This window comes from Homo sapiens, chromosome 19 (genome assembly GCF_000001405.40).
Source record: "Homo sapiens chromosome 19, GRCh38.p14 Primary Assembly".
In the NCBI taxonomy this organism is placed as follows: Eukaryota; Metazoa; Chordata; class Mammalia; order Primates; family Hominidae; genus Homo; species Homo sapiens.
In genome coordinates this window covers 17,742,992-17,761,481 of record NC_000019.10, presented here as the reverse complement: position 1 = coordinate 17,761,481, position 18,490 = coordinate 17,742,992, and the positions used below count along the sequence as shown (strand labels likewise).

At 52.3% G+C, this 18,490-nt stretch overlaps 1 protein-coding gene and 1 long non-coding RNA gene across 79 annotated transcripts in view, besides 6 other annotated features; one reads left to right on the top strand and one right to left on the bottom strand.

The window, feature by feature from the left end:
* The window catches only part of FCHO1 (FCH and mu domain containing endocytic adaptor 1), a 40,818-nt gene extending 27,080 nt beyond the window's left edge, over positions 1-13,738 (bottom strand). For 13 of the 77 annotated variants that reach the window (NR_169225.1, NR_169228.1, NR_169236.1 and 10 more), the window contains exons 1-4: positions 13,668-13,738; positions 7,016-7,165; positions 6,801-6,890; positions 6,291-6,364 (exon numbers count right to left, since the gene is read on the bottom strand). Coding sequence is in view for 35 of the 77 variants with exons in the window: in NM_001384376.1 (NP_001371305.1) it covers positions 6,291-6,317 (27 nt within the window). In the remaining 42 variants the exon portion in view is untranslated. Of the gene's footprint in view, positions 1-6,290; positions 6,365-6,723; positions 6,891-7,015; positions 7,274-9,904; positions 10,006-13,667 lie in introns of those variants that run through there. The other 64 variants (NR_169234.1, NR_169238.1, NR_169232.1 and 61 more) reach the window with 24 other exon arrangements.
* Positions 2,755-2,955: a silencer, noted in NCBI's record as "peak3395 fragment used in MPRA reporter construct". NCBI's record gives its function as "represses an SCP1 promoter by STARR-seq MPRAs in K562 erythroleukemia cells {active_cell/tissue: K562}" and the evidence as "EXISTENCE:reporter gene assay evidence [ECO:0000049][PMID:32103011]".
* Positions 4,956-5,235: an enhancer, noted in NCBI's record as "active region_14284". NCBI's record gives its function as "activates an Ori minimal core promoter by ATAC-STARR-seq in GM12878 lymphoblastoid cells {active_cell/tissue: GM12878}" and the evidence as "EXISTENCE:reporter gene assay evidence [ECO:0000049][PMID:35858748]".
* Positions 6,807-7,326: an enhancer, noted in NCBI's record as "OCT4-H3K4me1 hESC enhancer chr19:17864965-17865484 (GRCh37/hg19 assembly coordinates)". NCBI's record gives its function as "activates a minimal SCP1, AML or CMV promoter by ChIP-STARR-seq in naive H9 embryonic stem cells {active_cell/tissue: H9 hESC(naive)}" and the evidence as "EXISTENCE:reporter gene assay evidence [ECO:0000049][PMID:30033119]".
* Positions 7,327-7,847: an enhancer, noted in NCBI's record as "OCT4-H3K4me1 hESC enhancer chr19:17864444-17864964 (GRCh37/hg19 assembly coordinates)". NCBI's record gives its function as "activates a minimal SCP1, AML or CMV promoter by ChIP-STARR-seq in naive H9 embryonic stem cells {active_cell/tissue: H9 hESC(naive)}" and the evidence as "EXISTENCE:reporter gene assay evidence [ECO:0000049][PMID:30033119]".
* The window catches only part of FCHO1-AS1 (FCHO1 antisense RNA 1), an 18,063-nt gene continuing 9,657 nt past the window's right edge, over positions 10,085-18,490 (top strand). The window contains exons 1-4 of one of the 2 annotated variants that reach the window (XR_007067151.1): positions 10,085-10,266; positions 10,732-10,824; positions 12,101-12,199; positions 16,555-16,628. This is a non-coding gene — a long non-coding RNA (FCHO1 antisense RNA 1). The remainder of the gene's footprint in view (positions 10,267-10,731; positions 10,825-12,100; positions 12,200-16,554; positions 16,629-18,490) is intronic. The other variant, XR_007067152.1, reaches the window with a different exon arrangement.
* Positions 13,533-13,952: a silencer, noted in NCBI's record as "silent region_10359". NCBI's record gives its function as "represses an Ori minimal core promoter by ATAC-STARR-seq in GM12878 lymphoblastoid cells {active_cell/tissue: GM12878}" and the evidence as "EXISTENCE:reporter gene assay evidence [ECO:0000049][PMID:35858748]".
* Positions 17,328-17,622: an enhancer, noted in NCBI's record as "tiled region #7159; K562 Activating DNase unmatched - State 6:EnhF". NCBI's record gives its function as "activates a minimal TATA promoter and a strong SV40 promoter by Sharpr-MPRA in K562 cells {active_cell/tissue: K562}" and the evidence as "EXISTENCE:reporter gene assay evidence [ECO:0000049][PMID:27701403]".

The window sequence follows — 18,490 nt, the reverse complement described above, 5'->3', positions numbered from 1 at the left end:
TTCTATACACCATTAATAAAATATAGCTGAAAAGAAATCAAGAAAGTGATCCCATTTATACTAGCTACAAAAAAAAAAAAGTGTGTTAAATTGAGTTGCTGGATCAAACCAACCCTGAAAGCCACATTCCCCCATAATCATTTGATCTTATAAGCCAATACAGTCCCCGTTGCTTAAGTCACTGTAGTTGTGTTTTCTGTTCTTGTCAACATGGAAATTCCGCCTATGAGAACCCAAATTAGGGTCCAGGTTTGAGTTCTCTCCCAGGACCCACCAAAGCCCAGCACAGAATGAGAGACAGAAAGGGCATTTGAGTTCGTTGAATAAATAAACAAATGATTCTGCTGTTACCTGTTAGTGCCACTGGGAACTGAGTATTTCTACCCTGGTGCCTGCGAATGCCTTCACAAAATCTCTTTACTCCAATTTCTGGGGTTGTCATGGTGGGGGAGGCCAGGGCTGCACTGTGTGACCCAGGCAAGTCACTGCCCCCTCTGAGCTTTTAGGAGCTCCTCATTAAGATGGGGCAGGGAGGTTAGGCGCGGTGGCTCACCCCTGTAATCCCAGCACTTTGGGAGGCTGAGGCAGGCAGATCACTTGAGGTCTTGAGTTCGAGACCAGCCTGGCCAAAATGGTGAAACCCCGTGTTTACTAAAAATGCAAAATTAGCCAAGCATGGTGGCAGGTGCCTGTAATCCCAGCTACTCAGGAAGCTGAGGCAGGAGAATCACTTGAACCCGGGAGGCGGAGGTTACAATGAGCCAAAATCATGTCACTACACTACAGCCTGGGAGACATCTGCCTCTTACATGGAGATGATACAAGCAGCAAGATAATCCATGTCAATGCTCCCCAAAGCCCCAAAGGCCACTCTAGTTTTTGCTAATTCGTAACATTAGTTATTAATAGTTAGCATTTGTTTTAAATTTGCTTATGCTTCTTCCCCAAAGACATTTATGTTAAAGGGCAACTTTTTCTGCCACTCTCAATGGAAAATTGGGACCCTCTGCCGCATGAAAGGAGTAGGAAAAAATGAGGCAACAACTATATCTTAACGCCGGCCAGATTCTGTCACCTGGGAAGGGCATCATGCCTGAACACTACTAAGCTGTCCATTAAAAATGGTAATCAGGCCGGGCGCGGTGCCTCACACCTGTAGTCCCAGCACTTTGGGAAGCCGAGGCAGGCAGATTATCTGAGGTCAGGAGTTCGAGACCAGACTGGCCAACATGGTGAAACCCCGTCTCTACTAAAAATACAAAAATTAGCCAGGCGTGGTGGCACATGCCTATAACCCCAGCTATTCGGAGGCTGAGGCAGGAGAATCGCTTGAACCCGGGAGGCAGAGGTTGTAGTGAGCTGAGATCGTGCCATTGCACTCCAGCCTGGGTGACATAGCAAGACTCTGTCCCCCAATGCAAAAAAAAAAAAAAAGATGGCAAAACAGGAGACACAACATATTTCAGGATGAGGCAGGAATGCCTCAAATCATGGCTAATATTTAATGCTGATGTAGAGGTGTTGGCAAATGCAGTAAGGTAAGAAAAATAATTGAGACCAGATTATATGACCATCTACAGAAAACAAAAAATAATAAACAATATGAATAGAACTGAGGAAAAGGCTAAAAGCAAGACCAATATAGATTAAACATGAGGATTTTTTTTTTAACAGGCGTGTGCCACCACACCTGGCTGATTTTTGTATTTTTAGTATAGACAGGGTTTCACCATGTTGGTCAAGCTGGTCTTGAACTCCTGACCTCAACTGATCTGCCTGCCTCGGCCTCCCAAAGTGCTGGGATTACAGGCGTGAACCACCACGCCCGGCCTCATACACACCTTCTGATCCCGCTTCTCTCCACCCCTTGGAGACCTGGTCCTCTGCGCCCGCTGTTGGAATTGGACACCTTTAGATTTGGACTTAAAACTCACCATTACAACTTTAAAATCAATGACTAGATGGGTGTGGTGTCTCATGCGTGTAATCCCAGCACTTCAGGAGGCTGAGGCGGGCAAATCACTCGAGGTCAAGAGTTCAAGACCAGACTGGCCAACATGGTGAAACCCCGTCTCTACTAAAGATACAAAAATTAGCCAGACGTGGCAGTGGGCGCCTGTAGTCCCAAGTACTCGGGAGGCTGAGGCGGGAGAATTGCTTGAAGCAGGGAGGCAGAGGTTGCAGTGAGCTGAGATCCCGCCACTGCACTCCAGCCTGGCTGACAGAGCAAGACTCTGTCTCAAAAAAAAAAAAAAGGTAATCAGCTGGGGTCTGAGGGAACTGGGGACATTTTAGCACCAAATCAGGTCTTATAATAACACTGGAAGAGAAGGCTTGTGGAGGGATCTGATGCCATTTAAGTCCCAACACACATCAGTGAAGCCATCCCTCTGGCAGCATTTGGCGGGTTTTCCATAAATGGTAGTTTCCTGTGCCCTCCTCCAACCTACCAGGTTCACCCTCCCAGGTACCCGGAAGCTTGAATGTTATACATATTTTTCTATGTTTGAGACAGGGTCTCGCTCTGTCTCCCCAGCTGGAGTGCAGCGGCACAATCATGGCTCACTGCAGCCTCAAATTCCTGGGCTCAAGAGATCCTCCCACCCCAGCCTCCCAAGTAGCTGGAACCACAGCCATGTGACACCAGGCCTGGCTAGTTTTTTTTATTTTTAGTAGAGATACGGCCTTACTATGTTACCAAGGTTGGTCTCGAACTCCTGGACTCAAGCAATCCTCCCATCTCAGCCTCCCAAAGTGCTGAGATTACAGGCGTGAGTCACCACACTTGGCCAGAAGCCTGAAGGTTAAAGCCAGAAGTCACTGCTAGGTAACGTTTCCTGCTGCACCAATGGAGACACCGAAGCCAAGACTGGGGCAGACCCAGGTCAGCCTCAAGCCCAAATCTCCCAATGGTCACACTTCATTCTAGAATCATCAATGGGTCCCTATTGCCCACCAGATGCTGAAGTCCAAGTCCATGGCCTGGAATTGCTGCTCCAGCCTCATCTCCTAGCTTCTTCCTAGCCTCACCCACAAAACAGCAAATAGCAAAGACAGGCAGTGCCTTTCCACCACCACATTTTGTCCAGGCTATTCCCGCCATCAGCTCTCCAGCTTGCATCTCCTTCCACCCATCCACATCCTTCCACTTCCCAAGGATCATTGCCACCTGCTCTAGAAACTTCCCTAACCCTGCTCAACCCCCTCCCCCACTTCACTGTTGCTCCCTCCAGCTCGCCAGGAATACGTTTTCTCTTTTTTTTTTTTGAGACGGAGTCTCACTCTGTCACCCAGGTTGGAGTGCAGTGATGCGATCTTGGCTCACTGCAAGCTCTGTCTCCTGGGTTCACGCCATTCTCCTGCCTCAGCCTCCTCAATAGCTGGGACTACAGGTGCCCGCCACCATACCCGGCTAATTTTTTGTATTTTTAGTAGAGACGGGGTTTCACTGTGTTAGCCAGGATGGTCTCGATCTCCTGACCTTGTGATCCGCCTGCCTCGGCCTCCCAAATGCTGGGATTACAGGTGTGAGCCACCGCACCCGGCTTTTTTTTTTTTTTTTTTTTGAGACAGGGTCTTGCTCTGTCGCCCAGGCTGGAGTCCAGTGGTATGATCTTGGCTCACTGAAACCTCTGCCTCCCAGGCTCAAGCGATCCTCCCACCTCAGCCTCCCAAGTAGCTGGGACCACAGGTGCGCGCCACCACACCCAGCTAATTTTTTGTATTTTTAGTAGAGACGGGGTCTTGCTATGTTGCCCAGGCTGGTCTCAAAGTCCTGGGCTCAGGCGATCCGCCATCTCAGCTTCTCAAAGTGTTTGGATTACAGACGTGAGCTACCACGCTCCACCTATATTTTCTCTTCTTGTGTTTGGAATTATATTTTCAAAGTTCAAGTGTCCAATCTCCTTATACGTACAGGGTCACTTTGGGTTGGTGACTTCGTCTCTCTGGCCTCAGTTTCCTTCCTTGTGTGACAAATGGGGACAACAACAGCACCCAACTCCCAAGGGTCTTGCTGGGATGAGGCTGGCACAGTGCTGGCCCCAGGAGATCCTCGGGTGAGGCTGCACCAGGCACCACCGCCCAGAGCAGCATCTGGGTCTGACTCAGAGCCAACTGCTGGCCCGTTTCCCAGACCTGGCAAACCCCCAGCAGCGTCTGCCTCTCTTGGACTGGGCTGGCAGCCGAGGGTCCTAGGAGGGGCTGTCTCAGGTCTGTCTCTCCCACCAGAACTTCTAGACTTCAGACTTGGCCTCTGTGCCAGCCAAAATGTGGTCTTTTTTTTTTTTTTTTTTTTTTAGACGGAGTCTCACTCCATCACCCAGGCTGGAGTGCAGTGGCGCGATCTCACTGCGACTTCCACCTCCCGGGTTCAAGCAATTCTCCTGCCTTAGCCTCTCGAGTAGCTGGGACTACAGGCTCATGCTACTATGCCCGGCTAATTTTTGTATTTTTAGTAGAGATGGGGTCTTGCCATGTTGGCCAGGCTGGTCTCCAATTCCTGACCTCAGGTGATCCGCCTCCCTCGGCCTCCCAAAGTGCTGGGATTACAGGCATGAGCCACTGCGCCCAGCCAAGAGTGTGGTCTTTGTAACAGAGCTTGTTTATGTCCCTCTCCTGCTCACACTTCCCCCATGGCTCCCTAGTACACTTCATGCTTCGGCCCTGCCCTGGCGCAATGAGACTGGGGCATCCCTGTTTGGCTTAATCTCCCCAGCACCACCCAGCAAAGAACCAGGCTTCTATGGCGGCTTCAATACTAGCAACTGATGACAGATGTCACAGGAGGCCTCCCTGAGTCTGGGGGTGTGTGGGGTGCATGGGGTGGGAGTGGCGGTGCAGGAATTTCATCCCTTTTTCCCAGATGGGGAAACAGAGGTTCGGGCAGGCAAAGTCATTTGCTCAAGGGCTTCCAGCAGAGTCAATTCGAATCCTGAACTCAAAGCTCTTAACCATTCTCTACCAGGATATCTTTGGGTGAGGTGGGGAAGTCGGGGGTGGTTTCTATTTTCTCTTTGCTGATCTGAATTTTCTGCAGCGAGCCTGCACGCCTCACACAATTAAAAAGGATTTAAAATAAATGTAGGTGCCACTGTCGGGGTTCCAAAATGCAGGTGACTTTTGATCCTCAAATGGTCACCTCCATTACACGGCAGTACTAAAAGGAGCTCAGAAAGGGGTAGCCCCTCACTGGAGTCACACAGCCTTTCAGGGGCAAATCGGGGAGTCTGACCTTTGGAGAGAGGGCGGAGGTCACACCCCTGCAGGTGGCAAGGGAGTGCGGCCCCTTTAAGAAAGCAAGTGCTTTCAAGAGGAGCCCCAGCTGGGGAGGGAGCAAGGGCAGGAGTGGGGCTTGTTGCCAGGGGCAACCAGTCGCCTAGCAACAGGCTTCCTCACTGCAAGCTCAGGGCCTGCAACTGGGGAAGGGGCTTTCTGACCTGGTCCTTCCCTGACTCCTGGGCCCTCCCCTGTTCACCCATCCTCTGTGGCACCCTGTTAGCCTGGCTCTGCAGGAGGAGTCCCTGTTCCCTGAACTTGCCACTCAATGTCACATCTCTGGTCTTTTGCCCAGGCTTTCTCACAGCAAACACGATTCTGTGTCCTGGTTCCTACTCTAGGACCCCCAAGGCTGGGTTCAGCCCTGGTCCTGCAGGGCTGAAGGTGTCTAAGCTGGCTCTGGGTCCCCCAGACTGGGGACTCCTCCCTTGGGGCTGGGGCTGGGATGGATTCTCTTGGAGACCCCAGCATCTCCTAGGGCTGGCTGGGGATGAGGTCACAGTGGCAGGGAGAGAGGAAATGAATGAATAAAAACAACTCTGTCTCACTCAGCAGCCCTTGGGCTACAGGAGGTGATCTCCAGCCTGGACAGTGGAGGGGTGCACAGGCCATGAGACGCCAGGTCAGGAAAACCCCCCAATTCTCCAGGATGGGAAGGGGGTGGAAGTTCCCTGGCTGGAATGACCCTGGGTCCTGGAAGTTCAGTTTGGCCCTGGGTTTGAGCACTGACTCTGCACTTTTTCATGGGGCAACTTCAGGTTGCCTAGACGTTCCCACTCTGGCCCTTGGTCTCCCTATGACACAAGCTATGACTTGCCCAAGGTTGTAAGGCCTGTGAGGTCTGGGGTGGGTGTGGATTCAAACCCAGCCTGACTCTTCCCACTTTAACTTCCATCCCTTGCAGATCCTCTACCTGTCCAAGGCTGTAACCGCAACTCACCCAGTCCTCCCATCTCCATAAAAGTCCCCACAGCCCTGCCAGCATCCCCCGCCTAAATAAGAGTGGGTCTTACCCAAAAATGCTCCCCAAAATACGACATCCTGATGGTCTCTGTGGAGACCCCTGCAGGCCCCGTCCAGTGCCTGTCTGAAGAGAGAGGCAAGTTTGAGCTACAGAGTCATTGCCAGTGTGGGCTTGGTGGGGGGAAAGTCCCTCCCTGTAGAGGAAGGAGAGAAAGGATGAAGGAGGAACTGAAAGCTCCAATGCTAAGAGCATGCCAGGACCCCTGAGATAATTCAGCCCCAGTGCTGGTCCCAAGTAGCTCCAGTAGAGGGGGACAGAACAAGACACAGATGCCCCCAATTCCACAGAGTCAGAACTGGACTAGGTGGAGGGACAAGAGCTGAGGGAGTCTAGATTGGAGGAGGGGGCATGGAATGTGGGGTTTTTAGGCATGTATAAGAGTTCATAGCAGTGGGTAGGAGCAGTGCTGGATGACCCCTAACCTTGACAGGAAAGCTCTGATCCACTTCACAGATGGGAAAACTGAGCCCTCCCCTCCCCCAGAGGGGAAGTCACTTGCCAAGATCACACAGCTAGGAAGGGACAGTAGATTTGCACTCTGGACTGGCTGAGCCCAGACCTGAGCTCTCAGCTCCACTCCAGGCAGCTCCTGCAGGAAAAGGGTTTGAAGAGAAATAGATGCAGGGGCTGTGATCAGCCACATGGGGGTTGGGGTCCCTGAAGTATCCCTGAGGGTCCCCTGGGATCTTCTGATTCCTCTAGGACAGTCCTCACCTTATGTACCCTCCTGGGAGTCAGAGCTCACTCCTCACTGTGATGACCCAGCTGGCATTGCTGCCCCCACGAGTCCCAACCCTGCCCTCAAAAGCCAGTGTTCACCTGGTGTCTGAGTCACTGTCCAGCTCCGTGCCTCAGTTTCCCCATCTGCAAAATAAGAAGGAATGCTTAGAAGGGATCTTGCCGGGGAGCCCCAGGTGTCTCTGCACAAGAGGCTGGGTCAGGCCGCCCGGCAGGGGACGGACAGGCAGTGTCCTTGGCATGTTCTAGAGGCCAGGCTTGTCACTGGAGCCTGCAGGCCTCATGCATAATTCATGACCCCACAGGCAGCTCGGTAGCAGCTGGGAGCCTCGTAGGAACAGTGGCAGGAGTGACAGGGACCCGTGACCACAGGATGGGGAAGCTCCCGGGGCCTCCCCAGGAAAGGACTGAGCAAGACCTTGGGCAAGGCTGCCCCTCTCTGTGCCTCAGTTTACCTAATCTTGAAAGTTAGTTTAGGCTAGAAGTGGTGGCTCACGCCTGTAATCCCAGCACTTTGGGGGACCGAGGCGGGCAGATCACTTGAGGTCAGGAGTTTGAGACCAGCCTGGCCAAAGTGGTGAAACCCTGTCTCTATTAAAAATACAAAAATTAGCCAGGTGTGGTGGCGGGCACCTGTAATCCCAGCTACTTGGGAGGCTGAGACAGGAGAATCGCTTGAACCTGGGAGGCGGAGGTTGCAGTGAGCTGAGATGGCGCCACTGCACTCCAGCCTGGGCGACAGAGTAAGACCCTGTCTCAAAAAGAAAGAAAGTTAGTTAGTTTAATTGGACCCATTATCATTGAGCCTCCAATCCCGGGACTTCTGTGAGTCACCCAAGACCTCCTACTTGCTCACCCAGACTAGAACAATGTCAGGGTCCCTGAGTTGATTCAGCCTCGGGCCTGGCCCTGCAGGAGTCCCCAGTCTAGAGAGACAGAGCTGGACACAGATATCACCGTCCTGCATGGTCAGGGCTGGGCCAGATGGAGGGACAAGGTCCAAAAGAACCTGGACTAAAGGAGGGCTCATGGGAGTTGGGGTTTTAAAGCATGAATAGGAGTTCACTGGGCAAGGAATTATTTGTTTCAACAAACATTCCCAACCCTGCACTGGTTAATGACAGGGCCCCTGAAAAACTTCAGTCCCCACCACACCCCCTTAGGAAACCTAGTTTGGTGGCAGGGGTAGGGTGGTGAGCATGCTACACTGACATCCCTAGGGGAAAAGCCCTAAATTTCCATATCATTTCTTAGCTTCTGTCCATGACCAGGACCCTAAGCATCTCCAAATCTCTTAGAGCTGTGCTGACTGGCATGGGAACCACTAGCCCCATGTGGTGACTTAATTTTTTTTTTTTTTGGAGACAGGGTCTCGCTCTGTTGCCCAGGCTGGAGTGCAGTGGTGCGATCATAGCTCACTGCAGCCTCCACCTCCCAGGCTCAAGGGAGCCTTGAATAGTAGCCTCCCGAGTAGCTGAGACTACAGGCTCACGCCTGAATAATTTTTGTATTAAGTTTTTTTTATTTTTTTATTTTTTCTGGAGACAGGTTCTTGCTCTGTCACCCAGGCTGGAGTGTGCAGTGGCATGATCACAGCTCATGGCAGCCTCGACTTCCCAGGCTCAAGTGATCCTCCCATCTCAGCCACCCGAGTAGCTGGGACTACATGTCTAACTAATTAAAAATAAATTTTTTTTTTTTTTTTTGTAGAGACTAGGTCTCACTAGTGTGGCCCAGGCCAGTCTCGAACTCCTGAGCTCAAGCCATCCTCCTGCCTGGGACCCCCAAAGTGCTGGGATTACAGCCATGAGCCACAACCCCTGGCCTTAATTTTTGTATTAATTTTTGTATTAATGTTAAACCAAGTAAAATTAAATACAATTGGCTGGGCGCAGTGGCTCACGCCTGTAATCCCAGCACTTTGGGAGGCCGAGGTGGGTGGATCACTTGAGGTCAGGAGTTCGAGACCTGCCTGGCCAACATGGTGAAACCCCATCTCTACCAAAAAATATAAAAATCAGCAGGGCGTGGTGGCACACACCTGTAGTCCCAGCTACTTGGGAGGATGAGGCAGGAGAATCACTTGAACCTGGGAGGCGGAGGTTGTAGTGAGCCAAGATTGCCCCACTGCACTCCAACCTGGTTGAAAGAGTGAGATTCTGTCTTAAAAAAATAATAATTAAATACATACATACATACATACATACATACATACAATTATATGCCCAGCTCCTCAGCTGTGCCAGCCTCTCTTCCAAGGCTCAGTAGCTACATGGGGCTGATGGCTGCTGTATTGGATGGCCAACATTGTTCTAGAAGATCCCAGGAACCAAGGAGCCCAAGTTCCCCAGAAACCAAGAATCTCACTACTGTTTTCACAGTTTCAATTAGATTGCCTCACCCCACCTCTGGCAGACAGATACACATGGAGCACCAGTATGTGTGCGACCCTGTACCCAACTATTCACACGCATCTGCTCATCCAATCTTCATGCCATGCCCTCAGAGGCAACCCCAACTTTATGAAGGAAACCGAGGCACAGAGAGATCAATCATTGGTCCCGGCTGACTGTGATTTTGCCCCTGGTCTGTCTGCCAATGACCTCCTGTTTGAAACCATCACGCGTGGCTCTCTGGGTTTCCAAGCTCCCCTTGCCGCCCCCCTAACCCAAACCACCACTCACAGCTGGAATGGGGGACGGGGGGCAGGGCAACGGGTGGCCCCATGCAGGCTTTGGCCAGCCCAGGAAGTGACACCTGCTACTTCTCCTGAAACCCAGGCTCCGGGCAGGGGGGCCTCCCCTCTGTTCCTGAGGGGGGCCAAGGCGAGATGATGGGTATCTACTGGCCAGGGCTCAAACTCACCGGACAGGGTAGCGAGTGGGATGGGGCCCCTGTCTGACGGGGCAGGCGCCAGGAGACAGCCACGAGGCCACTTCCGTCAGCACCAAGTTGGAGGCTTGTGTGCATGGGTTGGGGGGGGGACAGGAAGCTCACCCCGCCCCGCCTACCATCCAACCGCCACCTTTCCTCCCCCGCCCGATCAGCACCCATGGGACCTCCCTGGAACCACACAGGCCATGGGTGAGTAAACAAGAGGCGCTTGAACCTGGAGCCCCCCGGCCTGAACCTGGAGCTGTTCTTACCGAACAAATATTAATCATGGCAATTGGGAAATAACTGAGCACCAACCCTGGCCCAGGCATTCAACATCTTGCCATCCTGAGGTAGGCCGATACCCACTTCACAGACTGGGCAAACTGAGGCTCAGAGAGGGAAATGCGCTCAGAAAGGGGAAGACATGGCCAGGCGCGGTGGCTCACGCCTGTAATCCCAGCACTTTGAGAGGCCAAGGTGGGTGGATCACGAGGTCAAGAGGTTGACACTATCCTGGCCAACACGGTGAAACCCCGTCTCTACTAAAAATACAAAAATTAGCTGGGCGTGGTGGCCCATGCCTGTAGTCCCAGCTACTCAGGAGGCTGAGGCAGGAGAATCACTTGAACCCGGGAGGTGGAGGTTGCAGTGAGCCAGAGGTTGCAGTGAGCCGAGATTGCGCCACTGCACTCCAGCCTGGCGACAGAGCGAGACTCCATCTCAAAAAAAAAAAAAAAAGAAAAGAAAGGGGAAGACATTTTTGCATTCATGAGCGCTTTCCTTCACTACAAAAGAAATTTAAAATTATATTTTAGGTGGTGGCTGATGCCTGGAATCCCAGCACTTTGGGAGGCCGAGGCAGGTGGATTGCTTGAGCCCAGGAGTGCGAGAACAGCCTGGGCAACATGGTAAAACCCCGTCTCTACTAAAAATACAAAAGTTAGCTGGGTGGGGTGGCATATGCCTGTAATCCCAGCTACTCGGGAGGCTGAGGCAGGAGAATCGCTTGAACCCAGGAGATGGAGGTTGCAGTGAGCGGAGATCGAGCCACTGCACTCCAGCCTGGGTGACAGAGAGAGACTCTGTCTCAAAAACAAAACAAAACAAAACTGTATTTTACAACTACATTGACATAAAGACAAATATATTAATATTATACACAAAAATGTTTCCTTCAACCCAAGAGTTCATTTTTTTCCCTTTGGATTTTAAAAGAAGTGAAAACATCAACCTAGGGACCCCTAAAAGCACTGTGAGCCTGAGACACTGGGCATTTTGGGTCTGATGGAGAAGTCAGCCCTGCTAGAACCCAAGTCTCCCAGCCTGTACAGTACCAGCACAAAGCCCAGAGATGGCCGGAGACTTGCCCAAGGTTACACAGCACATTGCCAGCTGACTCAGAGGTCCCCATCCTGCCTTCCCGGCACCAAGTCTTGCAAACCTGGGGCTGAGACATGTGAGCAGCCCCAGAACAGATAAAACAAAGCAGGAACCACATCAGCAACAAAGGCAAGACCCGAGCTCCCATCCTGGGAATCGAGTGGTGCCTGGCTGGGTGTCCGGAGCCGCTGACGTCTTGCCTGATGACCTTGGGCCACTCCTGACCTTCCACGATCTGGCTTCCAGGATCCTGGGAAACAGGATCTCACATTTCCCTCTCTCTTGGACCCCAGTGTATGTACAGTAGGGCCAGTAGCAAGGGTTTTCTCATCCTTCCCACGGACCAGTCACTTGGTTCAAGCAGGTACCATGCTGTTTCAATGACCCACTATGTCATGTCTCCCCTCTTGGCCTCGCCACCTGGGCTGCGATCACAGACAATCTGGCTTGATTCTCGTCACCACACCTCAAGGCAGTATCTTATCTCAACCAGCACCACGATGGGGAAACTGAGACACGTGCCCCAGGTCACACAGTGACTCGGGCCACCAAGTGGGAATCTGAGCCAGGGATTCTCAGAAATTTTCTGTCCTCCCCATGGGTCCCCTCCCTCTTCCTCACTTCATTTGGCAAACATCTATTGAATGCCTACTGTGTACCCAACTTTCCCAGGTGCTGGAGTCTCCTCAGGCAATGCCTTTGATAGACTCCCCCTTCCCCTCCCTCCTCCTGGTCAGCTGTGACCCGATTTAAAGAGCACTAATACTGTCATTAATATTATAATAATCATGTCTGTATTTACAGAGCTTCCTCCTCCCACAGACTCCTCCCATCTTCCCAGAGGAATTCAGCCCATTTCACAGAAGAACAAACAAAGGCACCAAGGGAAAAACACACACACAGGTAGAGGCAAATTCAAACCTGGGGGTGTCAGACTCCCAGCCCCATGCCCACCACTGGGAGGGCGCTCCAAGGGACAGGGAATGAGCTGGCCTGGCAACTCCCACCCCCTCCTGCCCAGGACCTCGCCCGAGAACAGGTTCACCCCTGGCGTGGGTGATGGTATGTGGGTCAGGGTGTGCCCTAAGTGGCCCCAATGGTGAGACCAGGGTGGCGATGCCCCATCCCAGCCATTGCAGCTTGGTCCTATGTTTTACTCCCTGTCCCCATGCCCTCAGCCCCAATATCAGAGTGTCATCATCAACCCATTTTGCAGTGCAGTAAACTGAGGCTGAGAGGATAGCAAGGCACTGTGGGAGGGTCTCCAAACCCAATGCTGTCTTGACCCCAAACCACCCACATGTTAAGCAAAAGAGTGAATCACCATTGGACAAAATGTGGGCTGGGTGAGTTCAGAATCTGTAAAATGCAGGGTCCGAAGCTCCCAACCTCAATTTTCAAAAGAGGAAACCGAGGTTCAGAAAGGTGCTGTCACCTGCCCAAGGTCACCAGTGAAGCAGGTCCATTCGACACTGCCTCCTGGTCCCCAGTGCAGCTGGGGCAGGTGACTCGGGGGATCCAAGGCAGATGGAGGGGTCCCCCACCCCCCAAGCCTCCTCCGCACCCCACTCACAGCCAGCCTCTGGCAAGATCCTAATTTACCTCGATTTATTTTAATCCCCAGAAACAGATGCTAGCTGTACACCCCGCCCCTCAGTAAAAGAGGGACCCCCCCCCCAAGTCCAGGCTCCAGGCCCTTCAAGGCCTGGCCTGGATAAACCGTGCCAGGCAGGGGACCCCACAGTGACCTCCTCCCCAAAATTCCAACCTTGGGGTCCCCACAGAAGATGCCAGTGAAACGCCCCCCACCCCATCCTTAAGGTGGAGGACTGGGATGGGGCAGATTAGAGGAGGGGCCAGGTGACACCCCAGCTCCTCCAGCCACCAGGCCTGGATAGGGGTTCACAGTGGAGGAAAAGGGAAGGGGTCCCTCGTCTCGGTCCCCGGTGGTCTGCAGGCCGGAGCTGGGAAGAGGGAATCTGCGGGTGGTCCCCATCTCAGCCACCGCCCAGGGTTCCAGGCTGGAAGGGGAGCGGCGCCCCCATCTTTGCAGCCCCAGAACCCAGACCTAGGCTTAGAATAAAAGAATTTGGGGAGGGGTCTCGCGTCGTCGCCGCCCCCGTGCACGCTCGGTTCTAGGCCAGGAGACGGGGGATTTGGGGAGCGGTCCCCATTTTCGCCTGCGGACCCCCAATTACCACTTGGAGGGGGAAGCCGGGGCGCCCACCGCGTAGCCCCAACCCCCTGCTCTCCATCCCTCGCGTCCCGCCGCGCCTTTGCCCTCCGCAGCCGCCGGGGCTGCAGGGCACGGTGCGCGTGGGAGGCTGCGCGGGCCAGGGTATCCCAGGGGGTTCCGGGGGGCAACACTCACCTCCTGAGCTCGGGCCGAGCCCCGCGCTCGCCGCCACCTGCGGCTTGGTCGCTGACACCGGAGCCCGCCCCGCCCCTCCCTCCGCGGCTGCGGCGCGGCTGCCGGCGGGCTCCGCCCCCGGGGCGTGGCCTAGAAAGTCCCCACCCCCGCGACGGCGCCAGGAGGCAGGGCGGGCTCTGATCCCGCGCGGCCCCCCATTGGGCCATTTAGGCGCCCAGCTCCGCCAGCTCAGCGCGCTGATTGGTCCAGCCGAAGACTAGGCTCCTTTTTATGTTCCCCCCCTTACGCCACCCGCAGTCTATTTGCATAATTTAAAGAGACAGGCGCCACTCTTTCGCCCTGAGACTCAGTGGTAAGGAGTAAGGAGCGACCAACGTTTATTGAGCGAACAGGCAGGGCTCAGTTGATGACCCCCCACAAGCCTGTAACCTGGACATTATTGGTCTTTATTTTACAAATGGGAAATCTGAGGCTCAGAGAGGGCAAGATCTTGCTTGGAGGCCACACAGCAAGTCTGCAGCCGGCCTAGGGCAGCCCCGGGATCCGGCACCTTGCAGAGGAGGTCATCCCCTCATATGCCATATGATAGTTCTTTTTTGGAGTTCGAACTCGATCGCTTGAGGTTAGGAGTTCGAGACCAGCCTGACCAACATGGTGAAACCCTGTCTCTACTAAAAATACAAAAATTAGCTGGGCATGGTGGCAGGCGCCTGTAATCTCAGCTACTTGGGAGGCCGAGGCAGGAGAATCACTTGAATCCGAGAGGCGGAGGTTGCAGTGAGCCGAGATCACATCACTGCACTCCAGCCTGGGCGACAAGAGTGAGACTTCGTCTTAAAAAACAAACAAACAAACAAACAAAAACAAAGAAAAAGAAAATATAAACTTACACAACACCCGCCAGTCCCCCATCCTACCCTCTGCTTAGGGACAGGGCACCCGGCTGATTTTCTTGCCCCTCCACCAGCCTCCCAGGCTCAGTCAGGGCAGCCCAGGAGCACAGACCAGAAGCTTGGGAGGCCCTAAGGATCTTCTCTTCCCTTCATTACCAGCATTTCATCCCGTGGATTCAGTGTCTCTGAAACAGTTCCAAATTGTCCATTTTCCTACACCCCATAGTGGTCCCAGCGAAGACCCAATTGTCTTCAGCCTGGATGCCAACTCGGTTTCTTATTTGTGTTTCTTGTTCCCTCCATCCCAGCCCTAGACAATCCCTATTCTCCAAGGCAACTGTAGTTGTTCTTTCTTTTCTTTCTTTCTTTGTTTAGAGACGAGGTCTTGCTCAGTTGCCCAGGCTGGAGTGCAGTGGTGTGATCATAGCTCACTGCAGCCTCAAACTCCCAGGCTGAAGCGATCCCCCTACCTCAGCCTTCCAAAATGCTGGGACAACAGGCGTGAAGCACTGAAACTGGCCAGTTCCTTTTATTTCCAAATAAACCTTTTATTTTAGAGCAGTTTTAGAATTATTGTGAAGAGAGTACAGAGAGTTCCTGTATACCCAACACCCAGCTTCTCCTATTATTTTTTTCTTTAATTTTTTTTTTTTAATAGAGACAGGGTGTCCCTATGTTGCCCAGGCTGGTATCAAACCCCCGGGCTAAAGCAATCCTCCCACCTCAGCCACCCAAAGTGCTGGGATTAACAGTCATGAGCCACTGTGCCTGGTCTATTATTATTATTATTATTATTATTATTTGAGACAGAGTCTCGCTCTGTCACCCAGGCTGGAGTGCAGTGGCATGATCTTGGCTCACTGCAAGCTCTGCCTCCCAGGTTCACGCCATTCTCAGCCTCCCAAGTAGCTGGGACTACAGGCACCCGCCACCACACCCGGCTAATTTTTTGTATTTTTAGTAGAGACGGGGTTTCACCGTGTTAGCCAGGATGGTCTTGATCTCCTGACCTCATGATCCGCCCACCTCGGCCTCCCAAAGTGTTGGGATTACAGGTGTAAGCCACTGCACCCGGCCTATTATTATTATTATTATTAATTTATTTATTTGGTGAGACGGGGTCTTGCTCTTGTCACCTAGGCTGAAGTGCAGTAGTGCCATCTCAGCTCACTGCAAGCTCTGCCTCCCGGGCTCAAGCAATCCTCCCACCTCAGTGTCCCAAGTAGCCGGGATTACAGGCACGCACCACCACGTCCAGCTAATTTTTGTATTTTTTTGTACAGACGGAGTTTCACCATGTTGCCTAGGCTGGTCTTGAACTCCTGAGCTCACTCCATCCTCCCCGCTCATCCTCCCAAAGTGCTGGGATTATAGGCGTGAGCCACTGTACCTGGCCTGCTTCCCCCGTGATTAACGCCTTCCATTGGTATGTCCATTTGTTACAGTGTCTTTTTCCTTTTTCTTTTTCTTTTTCTTTTTTTTTTTTTTGAGACAGAGTCTCACTGTTGGCCAGGCTGGAGTGCAATGGCACTATCTCGGCTCACTGCAACCTCCGCCTCCCAGGTTCAAGCAATTCTCCTGCCTCAGCCTTCCGAGTAGCTGGGATTACAGGCACCCACCACCACACCCAGCTAATTTTTGTATTTTTAGTAGAAATGGGGTTTCGTCATGTTGGCCAGGCTGGTCTCAAACTCCTGACCTCAGGTGATCTGCCTGCCTCGGCCTTCCAAGGTGCTGGGATTACAGGAGTGGGCCAGTGCGCCCGGCCCGCCTCCCACATGATTATCACCTTCCACTGGTATGGCCATTGGTTGCAATGTCTTTTTTCTGTCCTAGAATCTTACATGACACTTACTCCTCATGTCTCCTTAGGCTGTTCTGGGGTGTGACGGTTTGTCAAACTGTCTTGTTTTCGGGGACAGTTTTGAGGAATGGTGGTCAGGTGTTCTACAGAATGTCCCTCCATTGAGGTTTCTCTGATGTCTTTCTCACAGTTAAATGAGGGTAATGGATTTGGGGAAGGAAGACCACAGAGGTGAAGCACCCATCTCATCACACCATATCAAAGGTACAAACTGTCAACATGACTTACTCTGCTGGTGTTGACCTTGATTTCCTGGCCGAATGGCATCTGTCAGGTTTGGGGGCTTTTTTTAGTTTTTGTTTTGTTTGTTTGTTTTTTGTTTCTTTGTTTTCTTGAGACAGAGTCTCGCTCTGTTGCCAGGCTGGAGTGCAGTTGCGTGATCTCGGCTCACTGCAACAACCTCCGCTTCCCAGGTTCAAGCAATTCTCCTGCCTCAGCCTCCTTAGTAGCTGGGATTACAGGCGCCCACGACCACACCCAGCTAAGTTTTATATTTTTAGCAGAGACGGGGTTTCACCATATTGGCCAGGCTGGTCGTGAACTCATGACCTCAGGTTATCCTCCTGCCTCGGCCTCCCAATGTACTGGGATCACAGGCATAAACCACCACACCCGGCCAATGTGTACTTGTTACTGGGGTGACGTGTCTTGGAGGCCCTGTCTGCAGACAGAGCAGGGAGCTGTATGTGTGTATATATGTATATACACATATCTGTACATATTTTGCTGTAACTATCTATATTGGGTTGAACATGAGCTCAGCCTCCTCCCCTTGCCTGTCTGTGATCTTCTACTTTATCCCTGAGAAACCTGGCTCCCACTGTCAGCCCTCCAAAGTAGGAGGCAGGACTCAACTCCAGAGGTGGGGCTGCGACATTGGACCAAATTGAGGACTAGCTATTATAAAACAGACCCCCAGGGAAGGGGCTTTCCTTAAGACATGCCCACTGGTGTGCCATGTCAGTTTACCATTGCCATGACAACATGCAGAAGTTACCACCCTTTTCCATGGCAACAACCCTGATGACTCAGAAGTTGTCACCCTTTTCCTGGAAGTTTCTGCATACACTGCCCCTTAATTTGCATATATATACATATATATATATATATATATATATATATATTTTTTTTTTTTTTTTTTTTTTTTTTTTTTGAGATGGTATCTTGCTCTGTTGCCCAGGCTGGAGTGCAGTGGCATAATCTCAGCGCACCGCAACCTCTGCCTCCTGGGTTCAAGCGATTCTCCTGTCTCAGCCTCCTGAGTAGCTGGGATTACAGGCGCACACCACCATGCCTGGCTAATTTTTGTATTTTTAGTAGACACGGGGTTTCACCATGTTGGCCAGGCTGGTCTCAAACTCCTGACCTTAGGTGACCCACCCGCCTCAGCCTCTCAAAGCGCTGGGATTACAGACTTGAGCCACCACGCCTGGCCTTCATTTGCATATAATTAAAAGTGGGTATACATATGAGTGCAGCTGTGCCTGTGAGCTACTATTCTGGATGGACTGCCTATGCACAGTGGTCTTGCTCAGCAAGGAACAGCACCTCTGATGCTGCTCTACACGGCCATTTCAGTAAATGCCGCTGTTTAGGGCCAAGCGCGGTGTAATCCCAGCACTTTGGGAGGCTGAAATGGGTGGATCACCTGAGGTCAAGAGTTCGAGACCAGCCTGGCCAACATGGAGAAACCCTGTCTGTACTAAAAATACAGAAATTAGCTGGGCATGGTGGCTCATGCCTATAATCCCAGCTATTCGGGAGGCTGAGGCTGGAGGATTGCTTGAGTCAGGGAGTTGGAGGCTGCAGTGAGCTATCATCACACCACTGCACTCCAGCCTGGGCAACAGCGAGACTCTGTCTCAAAAAAAAAAAAAAAAAAAAAGCCAGACCAGACCTGGCGGTGGGCACCTGTAGTCCCAGCTACTGGAGAGGCTGAGGCACGAGATTTACTTGATACTGGGAGGTGGAGGTTGTAATGAGCCGAGATGGTGCCACTGCACTCCAGTCTGGGTGACAAGGCGAGACCCTGTCTAAAAAAAAAAAAAAAGAAAGAAAGAAAAGGC